We start from the raw sequence: 23673 nt of genomic DNA on the forward strand, positions 1-23673 counted from the left end.
TATTATTTACTTTTAATTTATTTTTACTTTTTAAAAGTAGTGTGTTTTCAGCATGAAACATTTTAGCCGGGTGCAGTGGCTCACTCCTGTAATCCCAGCACTTTGGGAGGCTGAGGCAGGCAGATCACGAGGTCAGGAGTTCGAGAGCAGCCTGGCCAATATGGTGAAGTCCCATCTCTACTAAAAATACAAAAACTAATCGGGCGTGGTGGTGTGCACCTGTAGTCCCAACTGCTCAGGAGGCTGAGGCAGGAGAATCACTTGAACCCAGGAGGCGGAGGTTGCAGTGAGCCAAGATTGTGCCACTACACTCCAGCCTGGGCAATAGAGGGAGACTCCGTCTCAAGGAGAAAAAAAAAACACACACACACACACACACACACACACACACACACATTTTAGCCTTGATGGATATAAAGTAATAGTAAAGACTCTTTATCAATATGTAAATGGATTACATTATACATTGTTTAATTTAGTCTATGCTTCTGCCCCCTTGAACGGTGTTAATGAACATCTGTCCATGTCAGTACATTTAGATGAACTTAATACTTTACAACATTTAACTTGTTTCTGAATTTGTCATGTTATAAATTATACTGTAATAAACATCTTTTCTTATGTATCTTTTTTTTTCTTTTTTTTTGAGACAGAGTCTCGCTCTGTCACCCAGGCTGGAGTGCAATGGTGCGATCTTGGCTCACTGCAACCTCCATCTCCCAGGTTCAAGCGATTCTCCTGTCTCAGCCTCCCAAGTAGCTAGGATTACAGGCATCCACCCCTACGCCCGGCTGATTTTTTGTATTTTTAGTAGAGACGAGATTTCACCATGTTGGCCAGGCTGGTTTCGAACTCCTGACCTCAAGTGATCCACCTGCCTTGGCCTCCCAAAGTGCCAGGATTACAGGCGTGAGCCATCACGCCCGGCCTTTTCATGTATATCTTTACATGATTGTCTGTTTTCTCAAGTAAGTTCCTAGAAGTGAAATTGCTGAGTCATAGGGTCTGCAAATTAAATTAGATCTGCAGTTATGTTCTCTCAGAAATGTGTGTATATAAGTTGAGTATCCCTTATTAGAAATGCTTGGGACCAAAAATGTTTCGGATTTTGGATTTTTTCAGATTTGGGGATATTTGTGTATATGTATAATATCTTCAGGATGAGACCCACATCTAAACACGATATTGATTTATATTTCATATCCACCTTAATACGCATAGCCTGAAGGTAATTTTATACAGTATTTTACATTATTCTGCACATGAAGCAAGTTTGTCTTAAGTACTTATGTGAAATTTTCCACTCATGCTCGCATCCTGTTGAACTCAAAAAGTTTCCAGTTTTCGAGTATTTCATATCTTCAGATTAGGGATGCTCAACTTGTATTATTCTGTCTTCCGGCATCTACTGCGACTAATTAGAAGTTCATCAATCTAGTTATTCCTTTGTAGATTATGGCTCTTTTCTCTCTGATTGTTTTAAAGATAAAATATTTGTCTTTGGTACTCTGCAGTTTCACTACAATACATCTAGGTGCAGATTTCTTTTTATTTTTCTCTTCAGAACTCTGTGTGTGTGTGTGTGTGTGTGTGTGTGTGTGTTTTCAGTATATTATAAAGAAACATTGTCAGTTTCTCAACCATTATCTCTTTGAATTTTGCCTTTCCCTTATTCTTTCATATCTTTCTACAAGTCCTCTATTAGATGCAGTAGTATTTTCATTCTGTTTCTCATTTTCTCTTCCATATATTCCATTGCTTTATAAGCTCTGCTGCTTTCTGGTTGCTATTCTCTTATCCATCTTCCAGTTCACCTTTCTCTGTAGTCTCAAGTACCTTCTGCTGTTTAACCTATTCATTGATTGTTACATTTTATGATGATATATTTTCTAGAAGTCTTAATTGATTCTTTTTCAAATTTTGCCTTTTCACTTTATATCTTATTGTTATGATTTCCTTTTATCTCCACAGTCATTTTAAATATTTTTATTTTATAGCTTCTTTCAGGTTCTGTTCTCTTACATTCTTAGATATTAATCATCTAATTAATGTTCCTGATCTTTACTCATGGTGGATTATTTCTTTGTGCTTTTGAATTTTATTTAACATGAGCTCATTTTCAACATGATGTTATTTGTTTTTCATTTTTTAACTCTAGAAATCCTTTGCTTCCTGGGTTAAAGAAATAAGATTCCATAGCAGTTTTACTTTTGTTTCTGCCAGGAATCCTATGGTATCACCAGCCTCAGACCAATTTTTTTGTTAATTTCTATTTTAAGTTTCTTTTCTACACCTGTAGTGTAAATTTGGATTCCACACCTGTGCATGGTGCGGGCTCGTGTCTTTAATTTTGTAAGGGAGATGTTTCCTTCCCACTCATGGCTCTAGTGAATTTCAGTTCTTGTGGCTTCTATGTGGCAATGGATAGAGATTTAGCTGCTTTTTTCTAGTAAGGAAGGACCTTCCAGAATCTCTGCTTTATGCAACTATTTCATTTAAATAAAATGTCTTTCTGATGTGGTCCTATAATGTGTCTTCTTTCCACATAGTATTAAAACCCCAGCTCCAGTATGTCTAGTTCTGATAACTATATCTCTCTCCTTCCAAACTCTTCTCCCCCACATATCACCACAGTATTTTAACTTAAACACTTATTATAGTGGCTTTTAATTCTGTCTTTGTTTCTGGCACCAGGGAATTTTTTTCTTGCAAGCTCTGCTGTTACAAAACAAAGTCAATCATTTTTTCATTATTTCTGGTTTTTCATAACAGAAGAGGTTCTGAACTAGCTCAGTACACTATCATTCTGGAACTGAAGCCAAGTTTTTTTCTCCCAAAAGTAAGACTTAAATTTTCCTAAATGTGCTTTTGGTATCTATTGAGATAATAGTATAAGTAGTCTCCATTAACTATTAATATAATGGAAGTACATTAATAAGTTTAGTTTAAAGTGAGATACCAGTAATAAATCCAGCTCTATAGTTTGTATACTCCGTTTCCTAATCTTTTATTCAAAATTTTTGTGCCAGTTTTTTTAAAGTAAATGCTCTTGGTATATAGGTATTTTGTTTGCTTTATTTGCATGTTAGATTTTTACATCAGAAAATGATAGCCTTTTTTTTCTGAATTTTTTTTTATGTTAGCCTGTGTTAGTTTGTTCTTGCATTGCTATAAAGAAGTACCCAAGACTGGGTAATTTAGAAAGAATAAGGGTTTAATTGGCTCCTAGTTCTGCAGGCTGTACAGGAAGTATGTTGCCAAGCATCGGCTCACCTTTTGGTGGGGCTTCAGGAAGCTTACAATCATGGCCGAAGGCACAGGGGAAGCCAGTGTGTCACATGGCAAGAGCGGAAGCAAGGGAGGAGGAAGTTTTAAACAGCCTGATCTCATGACAACTCAATCATGAGAACAGTGCCAAGGCAGGGGGCACTAAACCATTCATAAGAAATCCACCCTCATGGTCCAGTCGCCTCCCACCAGGTCCCATCTCCAACACTGGGGATCATAATTCAACATGAGATTTAGAGAAGACAGCATCCAAACTATATTATTCCGCCCCTGCCTCTCAAAATCTCATGTTCTTCTCACATTTCAAAATATAATCATTCCTTCCTAATAGTCCTCCAAAAGTTTCAGCTCATTTCAGCGTCACTCAAAAGTCCAAAGTATCATCTGAGTTAAGCCAAGTCCCCTTTACCTATGAGTCTGTAAAATCAAAACAAGTTATTCACTTTCAAGATACAATGGGGGTACAGGCATGGGGTAAACATTCCCATTCCAAAAGGGAGAAATTGGCCAAAAGAAAGGGGCTACAGGCTTCATACAGGTTTAAAACCCAGTAGGGCAGTCATTAAATCTTAAAGCTCCAAAATAATCTCCTTTGACTCCATGTCCCGCATCCAGGCCTTTGAGCAGCCCTGCCTGTGTCTGCAGGGTTCAGCCACGGCAGGTGTTCTCGTGGGTTGGAGTTGAGTGTCTGCAGCTTTTTCTAGCACAAGGTGTAAGCTGCTGGTGGACCTAACATTCTAGGGTCTGGAGGACGGGGGTCCCTTTCCCCAGCCCCACTAGGCAGTGCCCCCATGGAGACTCTGTGGGGCCTCCAACTCCACATTTTCCCTCCCTACAGCCCTAGTAGAGGTTTTTTTGTGAGGGCTCTGCCCCTGCAGCAGGCTTCTGCCTGGCCACCCAGACTTTCTCATACATCCTCTGAAATCTAGGTGGAGGCTGCCAAGCCTCCTTCACTCTTGCACTGTGCACACCTGTAGGCTTAACACCATAGACACTGCCAAGGTTTAAGGTGGCATACATTCTCCAAAGCAGCAGCAGCCCGAGTTGTTCTTGGGGCCCTTTGAGCCATAGCTGGAGCGGCCTGGATTCAGGGAGCAGTGTCCTGAGCTGTGCAGGGCTGGGCCTGGCCACCTGAACCATTATTTCCTCCTGGTTTCTGAGCCTGTGATGGGAGGGGCTGCTGCAAAGATCTCTGAAATGTCTTCGAGGCCTTTTTCCCATTGTCTTGGCTGTTCGCACTTGGCTCCTTTTTAGTTGGGCCAATCTCTAGCAAGTGGTGAGTCCACTTGCTTGAATTCCTCTCCCGAAAAAGCCTTTTCTTTCTCTGCCACATGGCCAGACTGCATGTTTTCCAAACTTTTATAGTTCTACTTCCCCTTTAAATATAACTTCCAACATTAAGTCATTTCTTTGCTCCAACATCTGAGTATAGGTTGTTAGAAACATCCAGTCCACATCAGAAATTTCTTCTGTCAGATGCCCTAAATCATCACTCTTAAGTTGAAACTTCCACAGATCCCCAGGGCATGAACACAATACAGCCAAGCTCTTTGCTAAGGCATAACAAGGCTGACTTTGCTCTGGTTCCTATAAGTTCTTGATTTCCATCTTAGTTTTTATCACCTTGGCCTTCCCTGTCCATATCACTATCAAGATTTTGATTATAACCATTTAACCAGTCTCTAAGAATTTTCAGATATTCCCTCATCTTCCTGTCTTCCTGAGTCCTGCAAACTCTTCTAACCTCTGCCTGTTACCCAGTTCCCAAGTTGCTTCCACATTTTCAAGTATCTTTATAGTAGTGCCCCATTCCCAGTATCAGTTTTCTATGTTAGACCATTCTTGCATTGCTGTAAAGACATACCCAAGATTAGGTAATTCAGAATGAAAAGAGGTTTAATCGGCTCATGGTTCTGCAGGCTGTACAGGAAGCATGGTGCTGGGCATCTGCTTCGCTTCTGGCGGGACCTCAGGAAGCTTACAGCTATGGCAGAAGGCAAAGGGGGAACCTGGATATCACATAGAGCGGGTGCAAGAGACAGGAGGTGCCACACACTTTTGAACAGCCATATCTCACAAGAACTCACTATCCTGAGGACAGCGCTAAGGGGATGGCACTAAACCACTTATGAGAAATCCGTCTCCATGATTCATTCACCATCAGGCCCCACCTCCAACACTGGGGATCACAGTTCAGAATGAGATTTAGAGGAGATAATGCCCTAACTATATTATAACCTTTTAAAGTAAATTGAAAACTGAAATTTGTCTGGACTTTGGAACAATTTAAATTACACAAAAATTAACCTTTTTTTGGAAAGTTTTAGAAAACTATCCCATCTGGCTTGGTGTACTGGGGAGGGGAAACTAGTCAAGAGCAGTTAACTTCAATCTTTGACAGACTTTGCCATATTTTTATAGTCATTGTTTTGAGGTGTTGTTTTGTTTTTAATATCAAGGCAGCTTGTTTTCTAGAAAATAATTCATCTAATCTAAATCTATAACTTAAGTACAATAGTAATGTTTCTCCCTTGTCCCCTCCCTCCCATTTCTCCCCATTTTCCCTAGTGTTAGAATTGCAAGAGCTTTGTTATTTTATCAGACTTGGTTGAATACCAGCTTTGGTCACAAATGATTAATATTCTACAGTTTTTTAAATTAAAATTATACTTTTCTTCCCTGAATACCACTACAGGAAGGGACCTTGGAGATTTAGTCCATCCCTCATTATTGACTAAGTATCTAGGCTAACAGTATTTATAGGGGGAAAATGTAATATAAACATTGAATATTGATTACACAAAAATTGTAAAGTAACTGGGCAGAGGAGTATAGCAGTGGAGAAGTATGGTGTATATATATATATGGGGTAGGCACTGAGTTCTAAAGCTAAATCTTTATTTTCTCATAAATGGCACTAAACCATTTATGAGAAATTCGCCCCTATGATTCATTCACCACCAGGCCTCACCTCCAACAATAGGTAGGAATGTGGAGAAACAGCTCAGTCTTGACCATGGTTACCTCTACAGAGTAGGAATCAAAGGTGTAGAGGCATGAGGCAGGGAAAGTTTCCCTAATGAGCTTCATAGCACTTGCTGGCTTTTTAAACTGTTTACATGTTTTCTTTCTTAAACATTTTTTAAAGTTTCATTACAGGATAATGCCACAGTAAAATATTTTCTGAACAAAAAATTCATTAAGATGTTTGAAAATCCATCTTTAAACATGCTCTTCAGTTTTTTTGAGGATAGAATGTTGACCATTGTGAAAAAATTAATAATTACTATATAATGTTTTATCCATAATATAACTAATGATATATTTAAATTATATGGTAGGATTTTCTCATTCACACTCAGGTTTTAATTAACGCCAGTACCACAGATGCACCTCACATTTTTCTCTGCAGGTCAGATCTGTCCTTTGAGCGCTAGACCCATATATCACAACTCCCTGTATGATATCTCTATTTGGATGTTTTACAGGTACCCTAGATTCCACAGGTTCAGAAACAAACCTGTAATCCTTCTCTTTGTTTGTGCTCTTTGATTTTTCCCATTGTTTCCTAATTCAGAGACGAGACCACTATCCAGTTGAGCAAATCAGAAATCAACTTTGACACCTCCTTCGCTTTTGCCCCAATTTCTAATTCATCACCAAATTTCTATACATTTTTACTTCCTAAATATCCCTTAAGGTCTTCCACTTCTCTCTACCTAGTCTCCATTGCTATCCACAGTACAGGCTATTACCATTTCCTGGCTGAACTACAGCAGTGGTTTTCTGACTGGTCTTCTCATATATTCTTTTACCCTTTTTCCATACAATAGCCGTTTTTTATACACACATGATTTCTTGATCATGTCACCTTTCCTACCTCTGAGCTTTAAATCCTTCATCGGCTTCCCATTGTTCTTAAGATAAAATCCCCAAATGTTAATGGCCTATAAGGCACTTCATGATTTGGGCCCTACCTATTTTGCTTGATCTTTGCTCTCTACAGTTTTTCCCAATGTACCATGCTCCCATGCTCTGCTTTGGAATGATGTGAAAGAGAAAAACAGTGGCTGTGATAGCCACAAGCGAGATGGCAGGCAGCAGACCGAGTGCAGAAGACGCAGACAGAAGATAAAATAATGAGCAAGTTAAAATAGTTATCTAAATTATAAACGTGTATTTATGTGCCTTTAACCTAGCAATTTCTGTGATCTGCAGGGCAAGGACATTGACTCTAATACTTGTACTATCTCCAGCATGGTATCTCCTGCATACTAGGCACTCATTCAATGTGTGGTTGGTAGATAAATAGATGATGATAGTCCCAGTTTTAAATACTCTTATCTAGTTGCCTCATAAATGCCCAGATTTTCATAAGACCTATATATCCAGTTGCATTCTTTGTTTCTGTTTGTTTTTTTAATCTGGAGACGTGGTCTCGTGTTAAACAGTTAGCTTTTGTATACTCTTATAGTCCTAGAAACATCCACTATGATAAACTGCACTGAATATGAAGCATAACTTGCAGTCTGAGTGAGCCATTAACCAGTGCCTAGTACTCTTCACTGTAATAGTTACTAAGAAATCAAAAATTGTTTACATAATCTTTAAGAAAGGAAAGAATATGGCACATTTTATAAACCGTTCCAATATGTCTACTTATGTTTTGTAGTGCTGTATATACTCTGCTACTATTTAGAAGGAATTAACCCTCCTAGATCATTTTAGCTGGTGGAAGTTTAGATGCCAGAACTTTATACCTATTGCTGCAAACATTTCATAAAGTATGATTTCTTTATTCTTTTTCTCAGGAGAGGGTTTATTTTGCATCTTAACATAGGAAATGTGTCTCTGTTTATTATGAGAAATAATTTTACAGAGTAAATTTATAAGATATTTCTTGGTTTTTGTTTTGAAATTAAGTAAATACCAATTGTTTCAGTAATGTGTTTGGGTTGTCCTTACAAATGACTTACTGCTCCACAAAGGCTACATTTTCAAATAGTTATATTGCTTTCACTCTTAAAGTTTACTTTTGCTGTTTGTAGTATGTGGGTTGATTGACAGTTTGGTTTTTTCCTCTTTCAGCACTTATATTATGTCATTTCACTGTCTTCTGATGCCTCCATTGTTTCTGATGAGAAGTCATCATTTAAATTATTGTCATTCTGTTTCTTTGGCTGTTTTCAAGATTTTCTTTTTGGTTTTCAGGAGTTTGACTATCTTGTGCCTATGTGTAGTCTTTGTTTTTTTCTATTCGGGATTTGCTGATATTTTAAATCTGTAAATTTATATATTTTACTAACAAAATTTTTAGCCATAATTTCTTCAAATTTTTTTTCTACCTCATTCTTTCTCCCCTTTCCTTCTGAATCTCCAATTACAAGTATGTTATGATACCTTGCCACAGGTCCCTAAGGTTCTGTTTCTCTCCTCCCCCTCGCCCACAGTCACTTTTTTATTCATCCTTCAGATTGGATAATTTCTATTGCTTTGTCTTCAAGTTCACTGACTGTCATTTCCCATCCATGGTTAAGTCTACCCAGTGAATTTTTTTCAGTTATTTTATTTTTTAGTTCTTAAATTTTTATTTGCTTTATATATGTATAATTTCCATTTCTTTGCTGAGAGTTCCAGGCATATTTGCACTTAAATCCTTCAGCATAGTTAAAATAGATGCTTTAAAATACTTATGTGCTAATTCTAGCAGCTGGCTCATCTTGGGCTTTGTGTCCATTGGTTGCCTTTTCTCTTGAGTATGGGTCAGTTTTTTTCTGTTTATGTGTAACAATTTTGGATTTTATTTAGAACATTATGAATGCCATGTAGAGACTCTGGATTCTGTATTCCTCCAGTGAGTATTGATGTTTGGTTTGTTATCTGTTTCAAGCCAGATAACTTGACTACACTTAAAGTATAAGCTCTGAAATCGCAGTTCAGTTATTTTAACCTTAGCCTTGCTGCTTGAATGGAATCTGTCGCACATATGTATAGTTTGGAGATCAAAGATAAATACAGAGTTTATACACAGAATTTAGGGCCTCCTCTCTGTGGTTCTCTCCTTCCTGTGATTTACTCACTAAGCTTTCAGCTGTTATGATCATGCCATTGTCTGTCCTTTGGTTCATCAAGCAAGTAAGACTGCAGGTTTTTTATCTGAGTGTTAGCTACCCAAACTAACTGGGACCTGCTCTCTGAGTAAAAGCCATTAAAAAATGGAAAGTTACCCTTGCTGTTTCCTTCTTCCAAGTGCTGACCCCTTTTTCTTCCCTCCACCAATTTGTTTCTTCCTCCTTCAGGTAGTTTTTTATGCATTTCTACTGTTTATAGTTGTTATTCATGAAAGATTTGGTCTGGTAGGCGTTACTCAGCCATCACAGGAAGTAGAACCCATAAAATAAAATTGTACAATTGAAGAATGTTATCATTTGTGTAGGTGATAGTCTTTATTAGAAAAGCAGGCAAGTATGGTGAGAGATTTCAGTGTATGTTTTAATAATGAAATACGTTGAAATTTGTTTTCATGGTTCATCCTCCTTTAAATAATAAAAATGTCTCAATCAGACTATTTGCCTCTCCCTCAAATTGTGTATAAATTTTTTTTTTTCAAATCTAGATCATTTGAAATATGTTTTGGAAGCCTTATAGAAGGAAACTATAAAGAAACCTTATAATAAAATATTCATTTTATTCAACAAATATGTTGCATCTTCTGTGAGCCAGGAATGATCCAGATCCTGGAGATAGAACAGTGAACTTCAGAGTCCTTGATCCCATGGGGCTAATGTTTTGGGGATGGAGAGATAATAAAATATATCTCAGGTATTGATACATGTTATGAAATAAAAGCAGTATGAGGGTGCAATGGTGGGAGATGGGGAAGAGTTATGGCATTATTTAGATAGAGGGATTGGTCAGGGAAACTGTCTCTGAAGAAGTGACATTTGATCAACATTCTTAATGACATAAGAGAAGGGAGTTGCAGGTGGATCTAAGGGAAAACTGTTCCAGTAGTAAAGGAGCAGCAAATCCGATAGCCCTAAGGGAAGAACAAGAGTGACTTCTTTGAGAAATCACCAGACTGCCATTTTGAATTGAGGGAACAAGGAGAGGGTAGAAGATGAAGTTAGAGGGGTGGTAGATAGCCAGGGGCTTTGTTACATTGCATTTTGAACAGGGAAAGTGATGACTCTGATTTACTTTTCACAAAGATCACGCCGCTCAGTAAAGAAAATACTGGGGACGGGAAGAAGTGGTATGTTGGCAAAAAGAAGGAAGGTGGGGAGACCTATTGAGGCCTTTGCAGTAGTAGTCTAGATGAATTATGATGGTGGCTTGGACAAGAGCAGTAACAAGTGGGAAAAATTGGTTAGATTAAGAATACTTTTTGTATATAAGCCAAGAAGTCTTGATGGTAGATTAGATGTGGGATGAGAGACCAACTGGATGAATGGTGGTACCATTTACTGACATGGAAAAGACTGGGAAAGGATTGATTTGGATGGGGGAGGAATTAAGAGTTTGATTTTGGACATACTGAGCTTGAAATAAGTTGATACACAAAAGGAGATGTCAGTTAGCCAGTTGGATATGTTAGTCTCAAGGAAGAGATTGGAGTTGGAGATAATAATTTGCCAAGCACCAGTATATAGATATTATTTAAAGCAATATATTTGAATGAAATTACCTTGAAGATGAATGTAGATATAGTTGAAAGGAAACCATAGATCTGAACTCTACCAGCCACCAACATTCAGATGTCCAGAAAAGGAAAAGGATCCAGCAAAGTAAACTGAGAAGAATCTGCCAGTAAGTAGAAGGAAAGCCAGAAGAGTATAAACCTCAGAAGCCACATGAAGAAATTGTTTAAAGAATGAGGGAGTAGTGGTTGAATGGGTCCTGAGCTACAGAGAGATCTAGTAAGTTGAGGACTGAGAACTCACCATTGGGTTTCATAAACTAAAAGTGTATAGTGGCTTTGATAAGTGTAGTTTCAGTGGAGAAAAACTATGAAAGCCTGAGTGGGGTAGGTTAAAAGAGATTAGAAGGGAGGGAGAAAGTGAAGACACTTACGTATAAACAACCCTTTCCAGGAGTTTTAGCCCAAAATTGGGGGAAGAGGGAGAAATGAGCTGATAGAGAGGAGTCAAGGAAGGCTTCCTTAAAATGAGCAGTTCTATAGCATGATTGTCGCCACTTAAATTATTTTAAATGTCCTTTACTCATTTCTAGTACTTTCTCTCCTGCAACCCATTTATAGAAACACTACTTTTGAATGCGAAAATTTGTGTGTGTGTGTGTGTGTGTGTGTGTGTGTGTGTTTACACAGAAATACTTTTGGAAAATCTACAATGCAAATAACTTGATGTTGGCAGTGATTTTATCCATGAGATGTAACTAAGCTAAAGCCACATAGATAAAATAATTAAGTACAATTTAATCAAGTGATGATAAAAAACTAAAAGGCTTATTACTATATAAGTGAGCGCTTATTTTATTGAGCACTGAGGAGTTCTATAAATCTACTCAAAACTATTTTAAATATCTACTCTTATGCTGAAGACTGTTTATAAAATGCTAGATATACAATAATAAAAGAGACCCAATTTCTACATTCATGAATATATAGACCTGTATTTTTAGGCTTATGTTAACGAGGTTAAAAAGAGAAATACCACAAATAAGAAATTAGTTTTAAAGAGATTGTCTTCTTATGAAATTTGTCCTAATGAAAGGTATTTTCAAATAGCATGATTTTAAATGTCTTAATATTTTATTTAGGTTAATGTACTTATCTCCTATTTATATCCCCAAAAGATTTTTCAACATTAAACATGGTTTACCTTAGAAACAATAGGAATAAAAATAAGGTGGGTAGTTTTCAACTTCGACCACACATTAGAATCACCTTGGGATCTTTTAAAACTCCATATGCCCAGGCTGCTCACTCCTCAGCCAATTAAATCAAACCCCTTGGGAAATATTAGTATTTTAAAAATACTGATTTAATAGAAGCAGAGGGAATAAAATGCTACTAAGCTCCTAAGAATGAATTGATTGTGCATTTAAGGATTAAGTATATTTGAAAGATAAAGCAAAATATTGAATGCATTGGGTTTTGAATCATTAAGTTTTAGACAAAACGGAGTCATTTGTAGTACCAAATTTTTTCAGTATCCAAACTTTAAGAATTTAGATTACTCACCTTGGGATAATCATTAAGAAAAAAATCAGTGATACTATTTCTTCTCCCTTTTTAAAAGAATCTGGGAAGACAACCTTGAAAGTAATTTCTTACTTGAATGCTTTTTGGCTCAGCCATTATAGAGCATATAAATACATAAGAGTTAGACAGTATGAAAGTTTACCATCAGAGTTTATACTAAAAAGATAGTATAACTATATGGAAAGCATTTTAGGTCTAAATATTTTTATAGTTTATAATGTTAAGTGCTAAAGCACATATTCTTTTGTACTGAAATTTTAAATCCACAACAATATTCCTTCTATAATCAGTTCTCATTAAAATTTTTTTTCTTTCTTTCACAGAAAATGCTTGGACAGAAGAGATGAGTACTATTTCCACTAAGGCCTAGAATTGCCTACTGTACAAATAGTCCTGATCAGGCAATATACGAATGGCCCAAGGAAGCCACCAAATTGATTTTCAGGTTTTACATGACCTGCGACAAAAATTCCCTGAAGTACCTGAAGTTGTTGTATCCAGGTGCATGTTACAGGTCAGTGTTCAATGATTTCTGAATTTGTTAATACAAACCTGGTATTTTTTTAAACATTGGAAGAAAAACTCTTTTAGGTTATCTTCTTGTTGGTGTTAGTGTATTATGATGAAAAGAGATAAGCTTTGGTGTCTGATAGTCATGTGGCCTTTGGCAAGATGGAGCTTTCTGTACCCATCTGTAGTATGGATAATACTTGACTTGTAGAGTAGATGTGAGAGTTAAATGAGATCTGAATGTAAAGCATTGATAATATCTGTACTTACTAGACATGAGCTTTCTTAACTTTTCTCCCACCTGTTCTGCCAGGAGAGCTAATTTCAGATCTTAGTATGAAAGTGAGAAAAATGATTAAAGAGTCAGGAAACTTGGGTTATAATCCTAAATGGGCACCCCAAGCATATCTGATAAAGAATATGCCCTCTGTGCTTTAGGTTTTTTTAATCTGTAAAATAAAAGAGTTTGACTAGACAATGCCTAAGGTCCCAATTCCAAATGGGGGAAAAAAGTCTGTTTTTATATTTTTAAATTTAATTTGTAAGTTTTCCAATTAGTATCACCCTCTAATTTGTACATTGTTCTTAGTATACACAGTTTTGGAAATTTACAATTCCAAATATTGAGTGATAGTTGTGCCTTTCTATTTTATTAAACTGGAAATCTTTGTATCAGAAATGTATTTGGGGCCATGTGCTGTGACTCACTCCTGTAATCCCAGCACTTTGGGAGGTTGAGGCGGGTGGATTGCTTAAGGCCAGGAGTTCAAGAGCAGCCTGGCCAACATGGCAAAACCCTGTCTCTACTGAAAATACCAAAATTAGCCAGGTGTGGCAGCCCACACCTGTGGTCCCAGCTACTCAGAAGACTGAAGCATGAGAATTGCTTGAACCCAGGAGGCAGAGGTTGCAGTGAGCTGGGATCGCGCCACTACACTCCAGCCTGGGAAACAGAGAGAGACCCTATCTCAAAAAAAAAAAAAAAAAAAAAAAAAGTGTCCGGGGCTCAGTCAAGCATATTTACTCTTGAAGTGATTTTTAAAGTTTGAAATTATATGAAATTTTTATCAAATCTGTAATTTATAATAATGACTACATTTTGTTCACACCCTTATCACCATTATCACCTTTTAATTGGTCTACCTGCCTTTACCTAACCCAGTTTTGGTCTCTCCAATCTATCCTCTTCTGCCAGAGTGCAGAGCTGTTCACACACTTAAAACCTGTTGATTGTTCCCTGTGCCCTTCTGAATGAAGCTCATATAGCTTGACTAGGGCATACAAGGTCTGTGATCTGGAATCCTGGCTGTTTCTACACCCTGATCTTTGTCCAGTCCTTCCTGTTCATACCCTATGTTCTGGTCATCCTGAGCTGCATGGAATTCTCCCACCAGCAATGCCTTTTCTTATAGTATAATGGTTAAGAGCATATCTTTTGGTGATAAACCAAACTGAGTTCAAGTTTTGACAGTTGCTAGCAGTAACTTAATTAACTTCTCTGACCCTCATTTTCTGACTTTCATTTCCTCCACTGTACAGTGGGAATAAAAAAAACTACACAGAGAGTTAAATTTGACAATGTAGATAAAACAACCAGTAGGGTAACTGATTCATAGTGAGTATTCAATAAATGTTAGCAGCCAATACTAAAAGGAATAACAACAGCAGAAAGCCCATAAGGTATATTTGGTAAATGAATCAGTGGTTTACATTTGTTAATATAAAATGTGAAAAAAAAATGAGAGAATAAAAACATGTAATAAAGATGGAGTCAGAAGTTAAAAGAAAGTGTGGGAAAGGAGCGGAGATAGTGGGGAAAAATAGTCTCCCCCCTAGAACCCAAGTAACTTCTCCCTAACTTTTCAAGTAAAAGAGAATTTTGTGGTAAAATAAAGCTATGCTGTTCAGTAGGTTATTAAAAAACTAACAGAAAGATACTGTAAGTTCTTTGATAAATTTCTGTAGACTTCGTATTGAAAGAACTGTCCAGAGCATTTCCCTACATATAGTACAGGTATAGAGATTTTGAAATACCGTAACTGGGAGTAAAACATAGAGCCTTTTGTAGAATTACTTTAAAATATTTTCAAAAAAAAAATAGAGCACTCTAATGTACTCTTACAGTATAATCTCTGGTATGTGTTAAGAAAAACAAGATGCAGAGCAGAGTATATAGACAGAGCAAGACAAATAAATATTTACACATCCATGTATTTGTCTCTGTTTGCATAAAGAAATACTGGAAGAATTAAAAACAAAATTAATAAAAGATGTTTATCCATGGTAGGCCAGAGGGAACAGGCCTGATGGGACAGAGTTAGGACTCAGACTTCTCAACAGGTATCTTTTTTTTATTGTTTTAATCTGTGTTAATAAATTATCTATTTAAAAATAAAATAATTAAGCTTTAACCCAAAAATAAAAAATGAATGGTTTTCCGTTTCCTTTGGGCATCTAGTAATATCACCTTCCCTATGTTAATCTGGCTTTACAAAAGCAAACTCCTCTACTTAGCATGCTTCCCAACACCTGGTGTTAATGAAAATGAAATACTTTGCTTGCCTGAAACAGACCACACTTTTTAAAAGTGAGTTGATAATAATTTAGGGTATCCAGGTAATGTACTTTTTAGCTGATATAACAAGAAATCTGACAAGAAAGGAATAGGAAGAGCTCCTTCCTCTGTGGTTTCAGCTGGGGTGCAAGTTTTCCCAAATTTAGAGCAATATTTTTAAACGGGCAAATTAAGCTACCTCTAAATGACAGCGTCTCTTTTGGGGCTGCTCTTCCTTTCTCAGTTGGGTGGGTTTCTGTTCTTTTGACAGATCCTTCCTGCAGTATACTGGTTCAGAACTTTTTAAAATTAGTAAAGGATCATGCCATGCTACCAATTCTGTGTACCTGTTCTTTTTAAACATCTTGCTTGTCAGGGAGAGAACAAAAGTGTCTATCCTCTTTTCTCTTAAGTTTATCTGTTGCACAGTTCCCTCTTTTTGGAACTACTCATATCTTTTCCTTCTGCTGTGAATTCTGTAAGATAACTTATAACCAGCAGGTGTAATTTATATCTTTAAAGTTGATTTTTATATTTGGTAATTAAATCTGAAAACTTAGAAGAATGTGAAAATATTGCATAGTTTTCACTTTGGTTTTTTAACTTAATTTTTTACCGTTTTTAAATTCTCTTAACATGACGATTGAATCTGTAAGTTTAAAATTGGTATTTCTTTTCAAAGTACTGCATTAAGTATTTTTCATTCAGTATATGCAACACTTAATATTTAAGTGCCATGTACTTAGTGGAACCTTCTCAGATGACCTTCACCCATTGTCCTTATCCATATTTCTATGATAACACCTACCATACTGCATTTCATTTGTGTTCACATTATTCTCCTCCACTAGACTGAGATTCTTGCGATCAGCGATCATATTCCTTTCTCCTTGCTAATGAATGCTCAGTAAATGTTGGTTAAAGGAGTGAATGAATGCCATAGGGTATATATGCTTTGATACTATCTGTAATTTCTGTGTCTGTGCAGGAGTTTGGGGAAAAATGAAAGAGGAACTGGAATTAATGATTCAGACCTTTTTATAGCTTTGAGGAGAATGCAGATTTGTGGCTGTATACCAAAAAGCAGTGATTTTCCACCTTCTAAAAACTCATATCCCACCCCTTTTGATACACTTCAAGAGAGTCTTCTACCCTTTCTCACTAAAAGTAACCAGGGCTGCTTTGAGAAATGGCTGATTGCAAGTCTGGAGTAGATGTACATGATAAGCTAGAACATCTTGTCATATCAGAAAGCAGAGAAGCTTTGAAAAACTACTGGATTCATGTCGTATACCGAGGAGCCAACTTGAAGCTGTTCCCAGTAACTTGAAGAGGGGACATAATGACCAAAACTGATTGAAACACATCAAAATATTAAAGACACATGAGTTTATAATGATACTAAAAATAAATCATAGTCACCTTTGGAGGTTGCTAGGGACCAAATTTGTTACTCTGAAAACTAGTGAAAAGAATTTTTTTATCCTGCCTCTTCTGTGCAGAATGTAACCAAATAGTTGAAGAGAGCAAGCATTCAAGGAAGAATTGCTGCTAAGAATGAAGATGAAATCCATTTTATGTTTTTTGGAGACTGGGTCTCGCTCTCACCCAGGCTGGAATGCAGCAGTGGGATGATCATGGCTTACTGCAGCCTCAACCTCCTGGGTTCAAGTGCTCCTGCTACTTCAGCCTTCTGAGTAGCTGGGGCTGCAGGTGTCCTACTCTACCTGGCTAATTAAAAACAAGATTTTTTTTTAGAGACAGGGTCTCACTATGTTGCCCAGTCTGGTGTCAAACTCCTGGGCCCAGCGATCATCCCGCCTTGGCCTCCCAAAACGCTGGGATTACAGGGGTGAGCCACTGCGCCTGGCCAAAATCTTATAATTGGGACATTCCAGTATTACTGTTTAGCACCCCTAATGAAATAGTGTTTCTAAGCAGTGATCATCAATAGCTGCTAAAAATCATCAGTTGGATCAAGCTGACAACATCTGAATCTACCAGTTGGTTTTAAAATCACAAAAAGACAGGCAAACATTGCTGTGTCTCCTTGTATGATTTGACAGTGGATGTCTGTGATGGTCACCAAAAATTCAAACATGGACTTCATCACATCCCTAGATATAACTACTAGTTTACAATGAAATGCAGGGGAAATTGATTGACCACGGGGTGCAGTCCAGAATAGGGGAAATTCTACTACACAAATACCAAGTTTTCTCAACAAACAAATGGCTAGAAAAAATTTTAAAAGAGGGGAGGGGCTGGTTATTAGAAGAAACCTAAAAGGCTTATCAGCCAAATGAAATATGTAGGCCTTATTTAGATCCTGATTTAAACTAACTGTACAAAGACATTTTTATGCTTTAATTTAGTGCTATTTGAATATTAGGTGATGCTAAGAATTGATTATTTTAAGGTATGATCATGGCATTGTGGTTATGTTTTTAAGTCCTGTCTCTTACAGTACATATTGAAGTATTTACAAATCAAAACGAGATAATGTCTGAGACTTCATCTAGTTTGGTAGGGGGAGTAGCTGAGGCATATACATCAAACGAACAAAGATGGGTGATAAGTATGTGGGAGTTTATCATATTTCCTCTCTCTTTTATATATGTTTAAAATTTTCTAAAATAAAAATTTTAATAAAAAGTACATTTCCTTTTGTCCTAATGTAACCTTATAAAACCCCTGTAAGTTCTTTTATGTTTTGCTATTAAGAAAGTAATGTCTGTAGAGTGTAAATAATTTGAGTGCACATAAATTATGGCATAACTGAGCTAGAATATTGCTTTTTGATATGAACATATTGAATAATTACAGAGATTACAAAGGATTAAAGGAATTTTTGAGCGCTCAAGAGAATTAAAGAGGAAGGCTAAATATGAGTATCAAGCTTTTACAAAGGAAATGTGGAATTGGATTTGGTAGGGAATGTAAATTTTAAATTGAGAATGATGACAGAGAGGAGGTGAGAGGAAGATAAACTCTCTGAGCTTTGGCTTAGAAGGAAGAAGAATTTACTTGGAATGGCAATAAATTTAACTTAAAGCAAAAAGGGCCAATCAGGTTTGGCAAAAGATAAGATCTAATTATAATAGGAATCGTTGATAAAGATTGTGATCAGTTTTTCAACTTTATTTGAAAAATTAGTATGTATCAATTAAGAGTTATTAGTAGGATAAAAGGATTTTTCTACCATGAGAGGTTTAAGTTGTTGGTTTTAGGAAGGGGGAAGTCAAACCTTGCTCACTATCCTTTTATATTACCTGTTGAAACAATGTGAACTGTCATTTCCTTAACAAGGCATCAAGATGCCTTTTTAGTCCACTTCTTTCTTAATATGATTTTTATCTCATATCAAACTGCCTGTGGACATTTTAACTTGGTTATTCATCTTTCTTAAGTCTAAAACTCTCCTTTCTGTCAGGTTCTTAATCTTCCAGGCTTATTTGAATTGTTTCTCTCTTGTGGCCAAATTGTGTTGACAATTTATATTATTTTAAAATTTATTTCCATTATCAAACTCTCGTTACTTTGTGTCTTCTAACTGCTCATCTTGCCAAAGGTTTTTCATCTTTTTATTCATCTTAAGTATCAATAGACTTCTCTTCCCTGAATACCCTTTGTGTCTTTACTTCTCTGTTCATCCACTTTCAGTAGCTCTCCTCATTGCTTATAATACAGTCAAACTCTAGCGTGACTTATTTTTCAAAACTCCTTTGTTATTTAATTCCAATCTGCTTTTGCAACAATTTGTTCAACAACATTTTCAATACAAATATTTAGCTCCAGCCAGATCTGTTCCAGCCATCTTGTTTGGAACATGCTTTTACTTAACTCTCACCTTTATATTCTTCTTTACTCGTGCCATTCTCTTCACCAAGAATTGTTGTTGTTGTCGTTGTTGTTGTTCAAGTTCTACATATTCTATGAAAACCATCAGGCCATACCTTCCTCATTAACTCAGTCCTTTCTTCGGTAGCCTACAATATTAATTCTCTATTGAACTTCATTACCACTTAATATTTGGCATGTACTCATGTTACCTTTTCAGAAATCTGTGGTTTGTCTCCCTTTCTAGGGGAAAAGTTTGGTTTTATATGTCTTTGATTCTTCCACAGGCTCACAGTGCTATGCATATAGTATGTGTTTGGCAAACATTTTCGTGGATGATTTATGACTACTGGTTAGTTAGTATCTTTTGAGAATTCTTTAAAAACAATCTGAGGTTCCCCCCCCCCACTCTGGAGTAGATTTTTATGATGTTATCTAAAGGCAGAGATAGGAGCTAGTTCTTCTGGAGGCTACCTTGAGCCTCCAGAGAGAGAGGGATTACACAAGTTAAGAGGAAGCGTGTGAAGGATTGAGATGACTGGTATGAATTTCAGAACTTTAAATGCTACAAATGTAACTTATTTTTTTTTTTTTTTTTGAGACAGAGTCTCGCTCTGTCACCCAGGCTGGAGTGCAGTGGCGCAGTCTCGGCTCACTGCAAGCTCCGCCTCCCAGGTTCACGCCATTCTCCTGCCTCAGCCTCTCCGAGTAGCTGGGACTACAGGCGCCCGCCACCACGCCCGGCTAATTTTTTTTTATTTTTAGTAGAGACGGGATTTCACCGTGGTCTCGATCTCCTGACCTCGTGATCCACCCGCCTCGGCCTCCCAAAGTGCTGGGATTACAAGCGTAAAAACAATCTGAGGTTTTTTTCCCCCCCGCCACTCTGGAGTAGATTTTTATGATGTTATCTAAAGGCAGAGATAGGAGCTAGTTCTTCTGGAGGCTACCTTGAGCCTCCAGAGAGAGAGGGATTACACAAGTTAAGAGGAAGCGTGTGAAGGATTGAGATGACTGGTATGAATTTCAGAACTTTAAATGCTACAAATGTAACTTTTTAAACATTTATTAGTTTAAACAAATGTGTATAGCACTTGATACATTGTGCTATATATCAAACATTGATAGAATATTTTTCCATTTAGCTTTTTAAAAAATGTTTGATTATACAGTATTATATACTTAAGTTGAATGATTATATTTTGTTCAACATTAAAATTGCCTTTTTAATTAGGTTATAATTTTACTATATCTGTCTGAATCCATTTTACTCCTCGTATCCATTGTAGCTGCTAAAGTGGAACAATGATTTGATTCACTTTGTTAGTCAGAGAGAGCTTTTCCATTACATTAGTAGTGAGGATTTTTAATTCAATCATTTGCATAAAAAAACTTCTCAAATTTAAATATCCAAATATATGTTATAATTGTATTAGCCAGTCACTTGGTAATCATGTATTTGTAGAGATGCAAATATAAGCATTCGCTTCTGATTGTTAACATCAATCAATTTATTTTGTTTTCATAGAATAATAATAACCTGGATGCCTGCTGTGCTGTTCTCTCTCAGGAGAGTACAAGATATCTTTATGGTGAAGGAGACTTGAATTTTTCAGATGATTCTGGAATTTCTGGTCTACGCAATCACATGACTTCTCTCAACTTGGACTTGCAATCACAGAACATTTACCACCATGGAAGAGAAGGAAGTAGGATGAATGGAAGTAGGACTCTAACGCACAGCATTAGTGATGGACAACTTCAAGGTGGCCAGTCCAATAGTGAACTATTTCAGCAGGAGCCACAGACAGCACCAGCTCAAGTTCCTCAAGGCTTTAATGTTTTTGGAATGTCCAGTTCCTCTGGTGCTTCAAATTCAGCACCACATCTTGGATTTCACTTAGGCAGCAAAGGAACATCTAGCCTTTCTCAACAAACTCCCAGATTTAATCCCATTATGGTAACTTTAGCCCCAAATATCCAGACTGGTCGTAATACTCCTACATCTTTGCACATACATGGTGTACCTCCACCTGTACTTAACAGTCCACAGGGAAATTCTATCTATATTAGGCCTTACATTACAACTCCTGGTGGTACAACTCGACAGACACAACAGCATTCTGGCTGGGTATCTCAGTTTAATCCCATGAACCCTCAGCAAGTTTATCAGCCTTCACAGCCTGGTCCCTGGACTACTTGTCCTGCATCTAATCCTCTGTCACATACCTCATCTCAACAGCCAAATCAGCAAGGCCACCAGACCTCTCATGTCTACATGCCAATCAGTTCACCTACTACTTCACAACCACCAACCATTCATTCATCTGGTAGCTCACAGTCTTCTGCCCATAGCCAATATAACATTCAGAATATTTCAACAGGACCTCGAAAAAACCAGATTGAAATCAAACTTGAACCCCCACAAAGAAATAATTCTTCAAAACTGCGTTCTTCTGGACCTCGAACCTCCAGCACTTCCTCTTCAGTCAATAGCCAGACCTTAAACAGAAATCAGCCCACTGTTTACATAGCTGCCAGCCCCCCAAATACGGATGAGCTGATGTCCCGTAGTCAACCTAAGGTCTATATTTCAGCGAATGCTGCCACAGGAGATGAACAGGTCATGCGGAATCAGCCCACACTCTTCATATCCACAAACTCTGGAGCATCTGCTGCCTCCAGGAACATGTCTGGGCAAGTGAGCATGGGTCCTGCCTTTATTCATCACCATCCTCCCAAAAGTCGAGCAATAGGCAATAACTCTGCAACCTCTCCTCGAGTGGTAGTCACTCAGCCCAATACGAAATACACTTTCAAAATTACAGTCTCTCCCAATAAGCCCCCTGCAGTTTCACCAGGGGTGGTGTCCCCTACCTTTGAACTTACAAATCTTCTTAATCATCCTGATCATTATGTAGAAACCGAGAATATTCAGCACCTCACGGACCCTACATTAGCACATGTGGATAGAATAAGTGAAACACGGAAACTGAGTATGGGATCTGATGATGCTGCCTACACACAAGGTAATATGAATACTAAAGGTGGGATGGTTTTCCATGCTGGGCTTGTTGGTGTGCATTTGATTTCACAACAGAAATGGATGTTAGCATTGTTATTTCATTGTTTAAATATTGCCCCAAATGATGTTATTGTAACATTTGAGAGTATTATATGTATATACATTTTAATTTTAATTTTATTTTATTATTATAAAACTGGAAGTTTGAGTAATTGGGTTATCAGCTCTTCAGAGTAACCAAATCTGGTTAGTTGGTTTGTTAATGTTTATAACACTTTCTTTTCAGTTAATCTTATACCTGTGGTGATGCTGACTTTCTCTTTAAATTTTCTGTAAATAAAAATTCCTAGAAATAACGTTTTAATAAGCAACTAGTTGACTCTCTTGACTAATATGGTAAATTTGCCTTCTTTGACCAGATATTTGAAGAATAAGTAATTCTTGGCTGGGCATGGTGGCTCACGCCTGTAATTCCAGTGCTTTGGGAGGCCAAGATGGGAGGATCATTTGAGCCCAGGAGTTTGAGACCAGCTGGGGCAACATATGGAGACTCCGTCTCTACAGAAGGTTTTGAAATTATGCAGGCATGGTGGCACACACCTGTAGTCCCAGTTACTCAGTAGACTGAGGTAGGAGGATTGCTTGAGCCCAGGAGTTCAAAGGTTAGAGTGAACTGTGACCATACCACTCTGCCCCAGCCTGGGCAGCAGAGTGAGACCCTTCTCTGGGGTGGGGGGAAATTCTTCATTTTTCTAATACAACATTTTAGTCTTATTTTATATTAAGTCTATTACTGCGTAAGTATTAGAATAATTTACCTCAAAGAGAAGTTTGAATCTTGTTCCTGATATTTGTCCCTTTTATTCTCCCTTAAATGTTGGTTAATATATTTCTTTTTACATGGAATTATAAGGACATTATTTTCAAATCTTTCAATTGATTATCCTTTTCTGAAATAGACTATTTGATATTGGCATACTACATTATGTCTATATTAATTCAAATAGAGAAATTTCTGTCATATGTTTTATCTAACCTCTTAAGTTACATAATTTTCAGTAGGACTGTTAAATAAATACATTTAGATAAGAAGGTGGAGGTTATTCATTTTCTTGAATATTTATGCCAGTTTGTAGATGAACTGAGCCTTTTAGAGTAAGGGCATATCTTAGTCATATATGTATCTGCAGTGAATCATTTCATGTATCAGCTGTAGGTTGGAAAATACTA

The 23673-nt window shown here is 37.1% G+C and overlaps 1 protein-coding gene across 12 annotated transcripts in view, besides 1 other annotated feature; it reads left to right on the top strand.

Annotated features, from left to right (window-relative positions):
* TAB2 (TGF-beta activated kinase 1 (MAP3K7) binding protein 2) overlaps nucleotides 1-23673 on the top strand; it is a 193682-nt gene that overhangs the window by 139146 nt on the left and 30863 nt on the right. For 9 of the 12 annotated variants that reach the window (NM_001369506.1, NM_001292034.3, NM_015093.6 and 6 more), the window contains 2 exons: nucleotides 12838-13028; nucleotides 20947-22447. In NM_001369506.1, the coding sequence (NP_001356435.1) occupies nucleotides 12927-13028; nucleotides 20947-22447 (1603 nt within the window). In that variant the 5' untranslated portion in view covers nucleotides 12838-12926. Of the gene's footprint in view, nucleotides 1-1091; nucleotides 11098-12837; nucleotides 13029-20946; nucleotides 22448-23673 lie in introns of those variants that run through there. The other 3 variants (XM_047418485.1, XM_047418490.1, NM_001292035.3) reach the window with 3 other exon arrangements.
* Nucleotides 21500-22699: an enhancer, noted in NCBI's record as "BRD4-independent group 4 enhancer chr6:149699707-149700906 (GRCh37/hg19 assembly coordinates)". NCBI's record gives its function as "activates an origin of replication core promoter dependent on BRD2, P300/CBP, MED14 and CDK7 cofactors, and independent of BRD4, by STARR-seq in HCT116 cells {active_cell/tissue: HCT116}" and the evidence as "EXISTENCE:reporter gene assay evidence [ECO:0000049][PMID:35650434]".

This window comes from Homo sapiens, chromosome 6 (assembly GCF_000001405.40).
Source record: "Homo sapiens chromosome 6, GRCh38.p14 Primary Assembly".
NCBI lineage: Eukaryota > Metazoa > Chordata > Mammalia > Primates > Hominidae > Homo > Homo sapiens.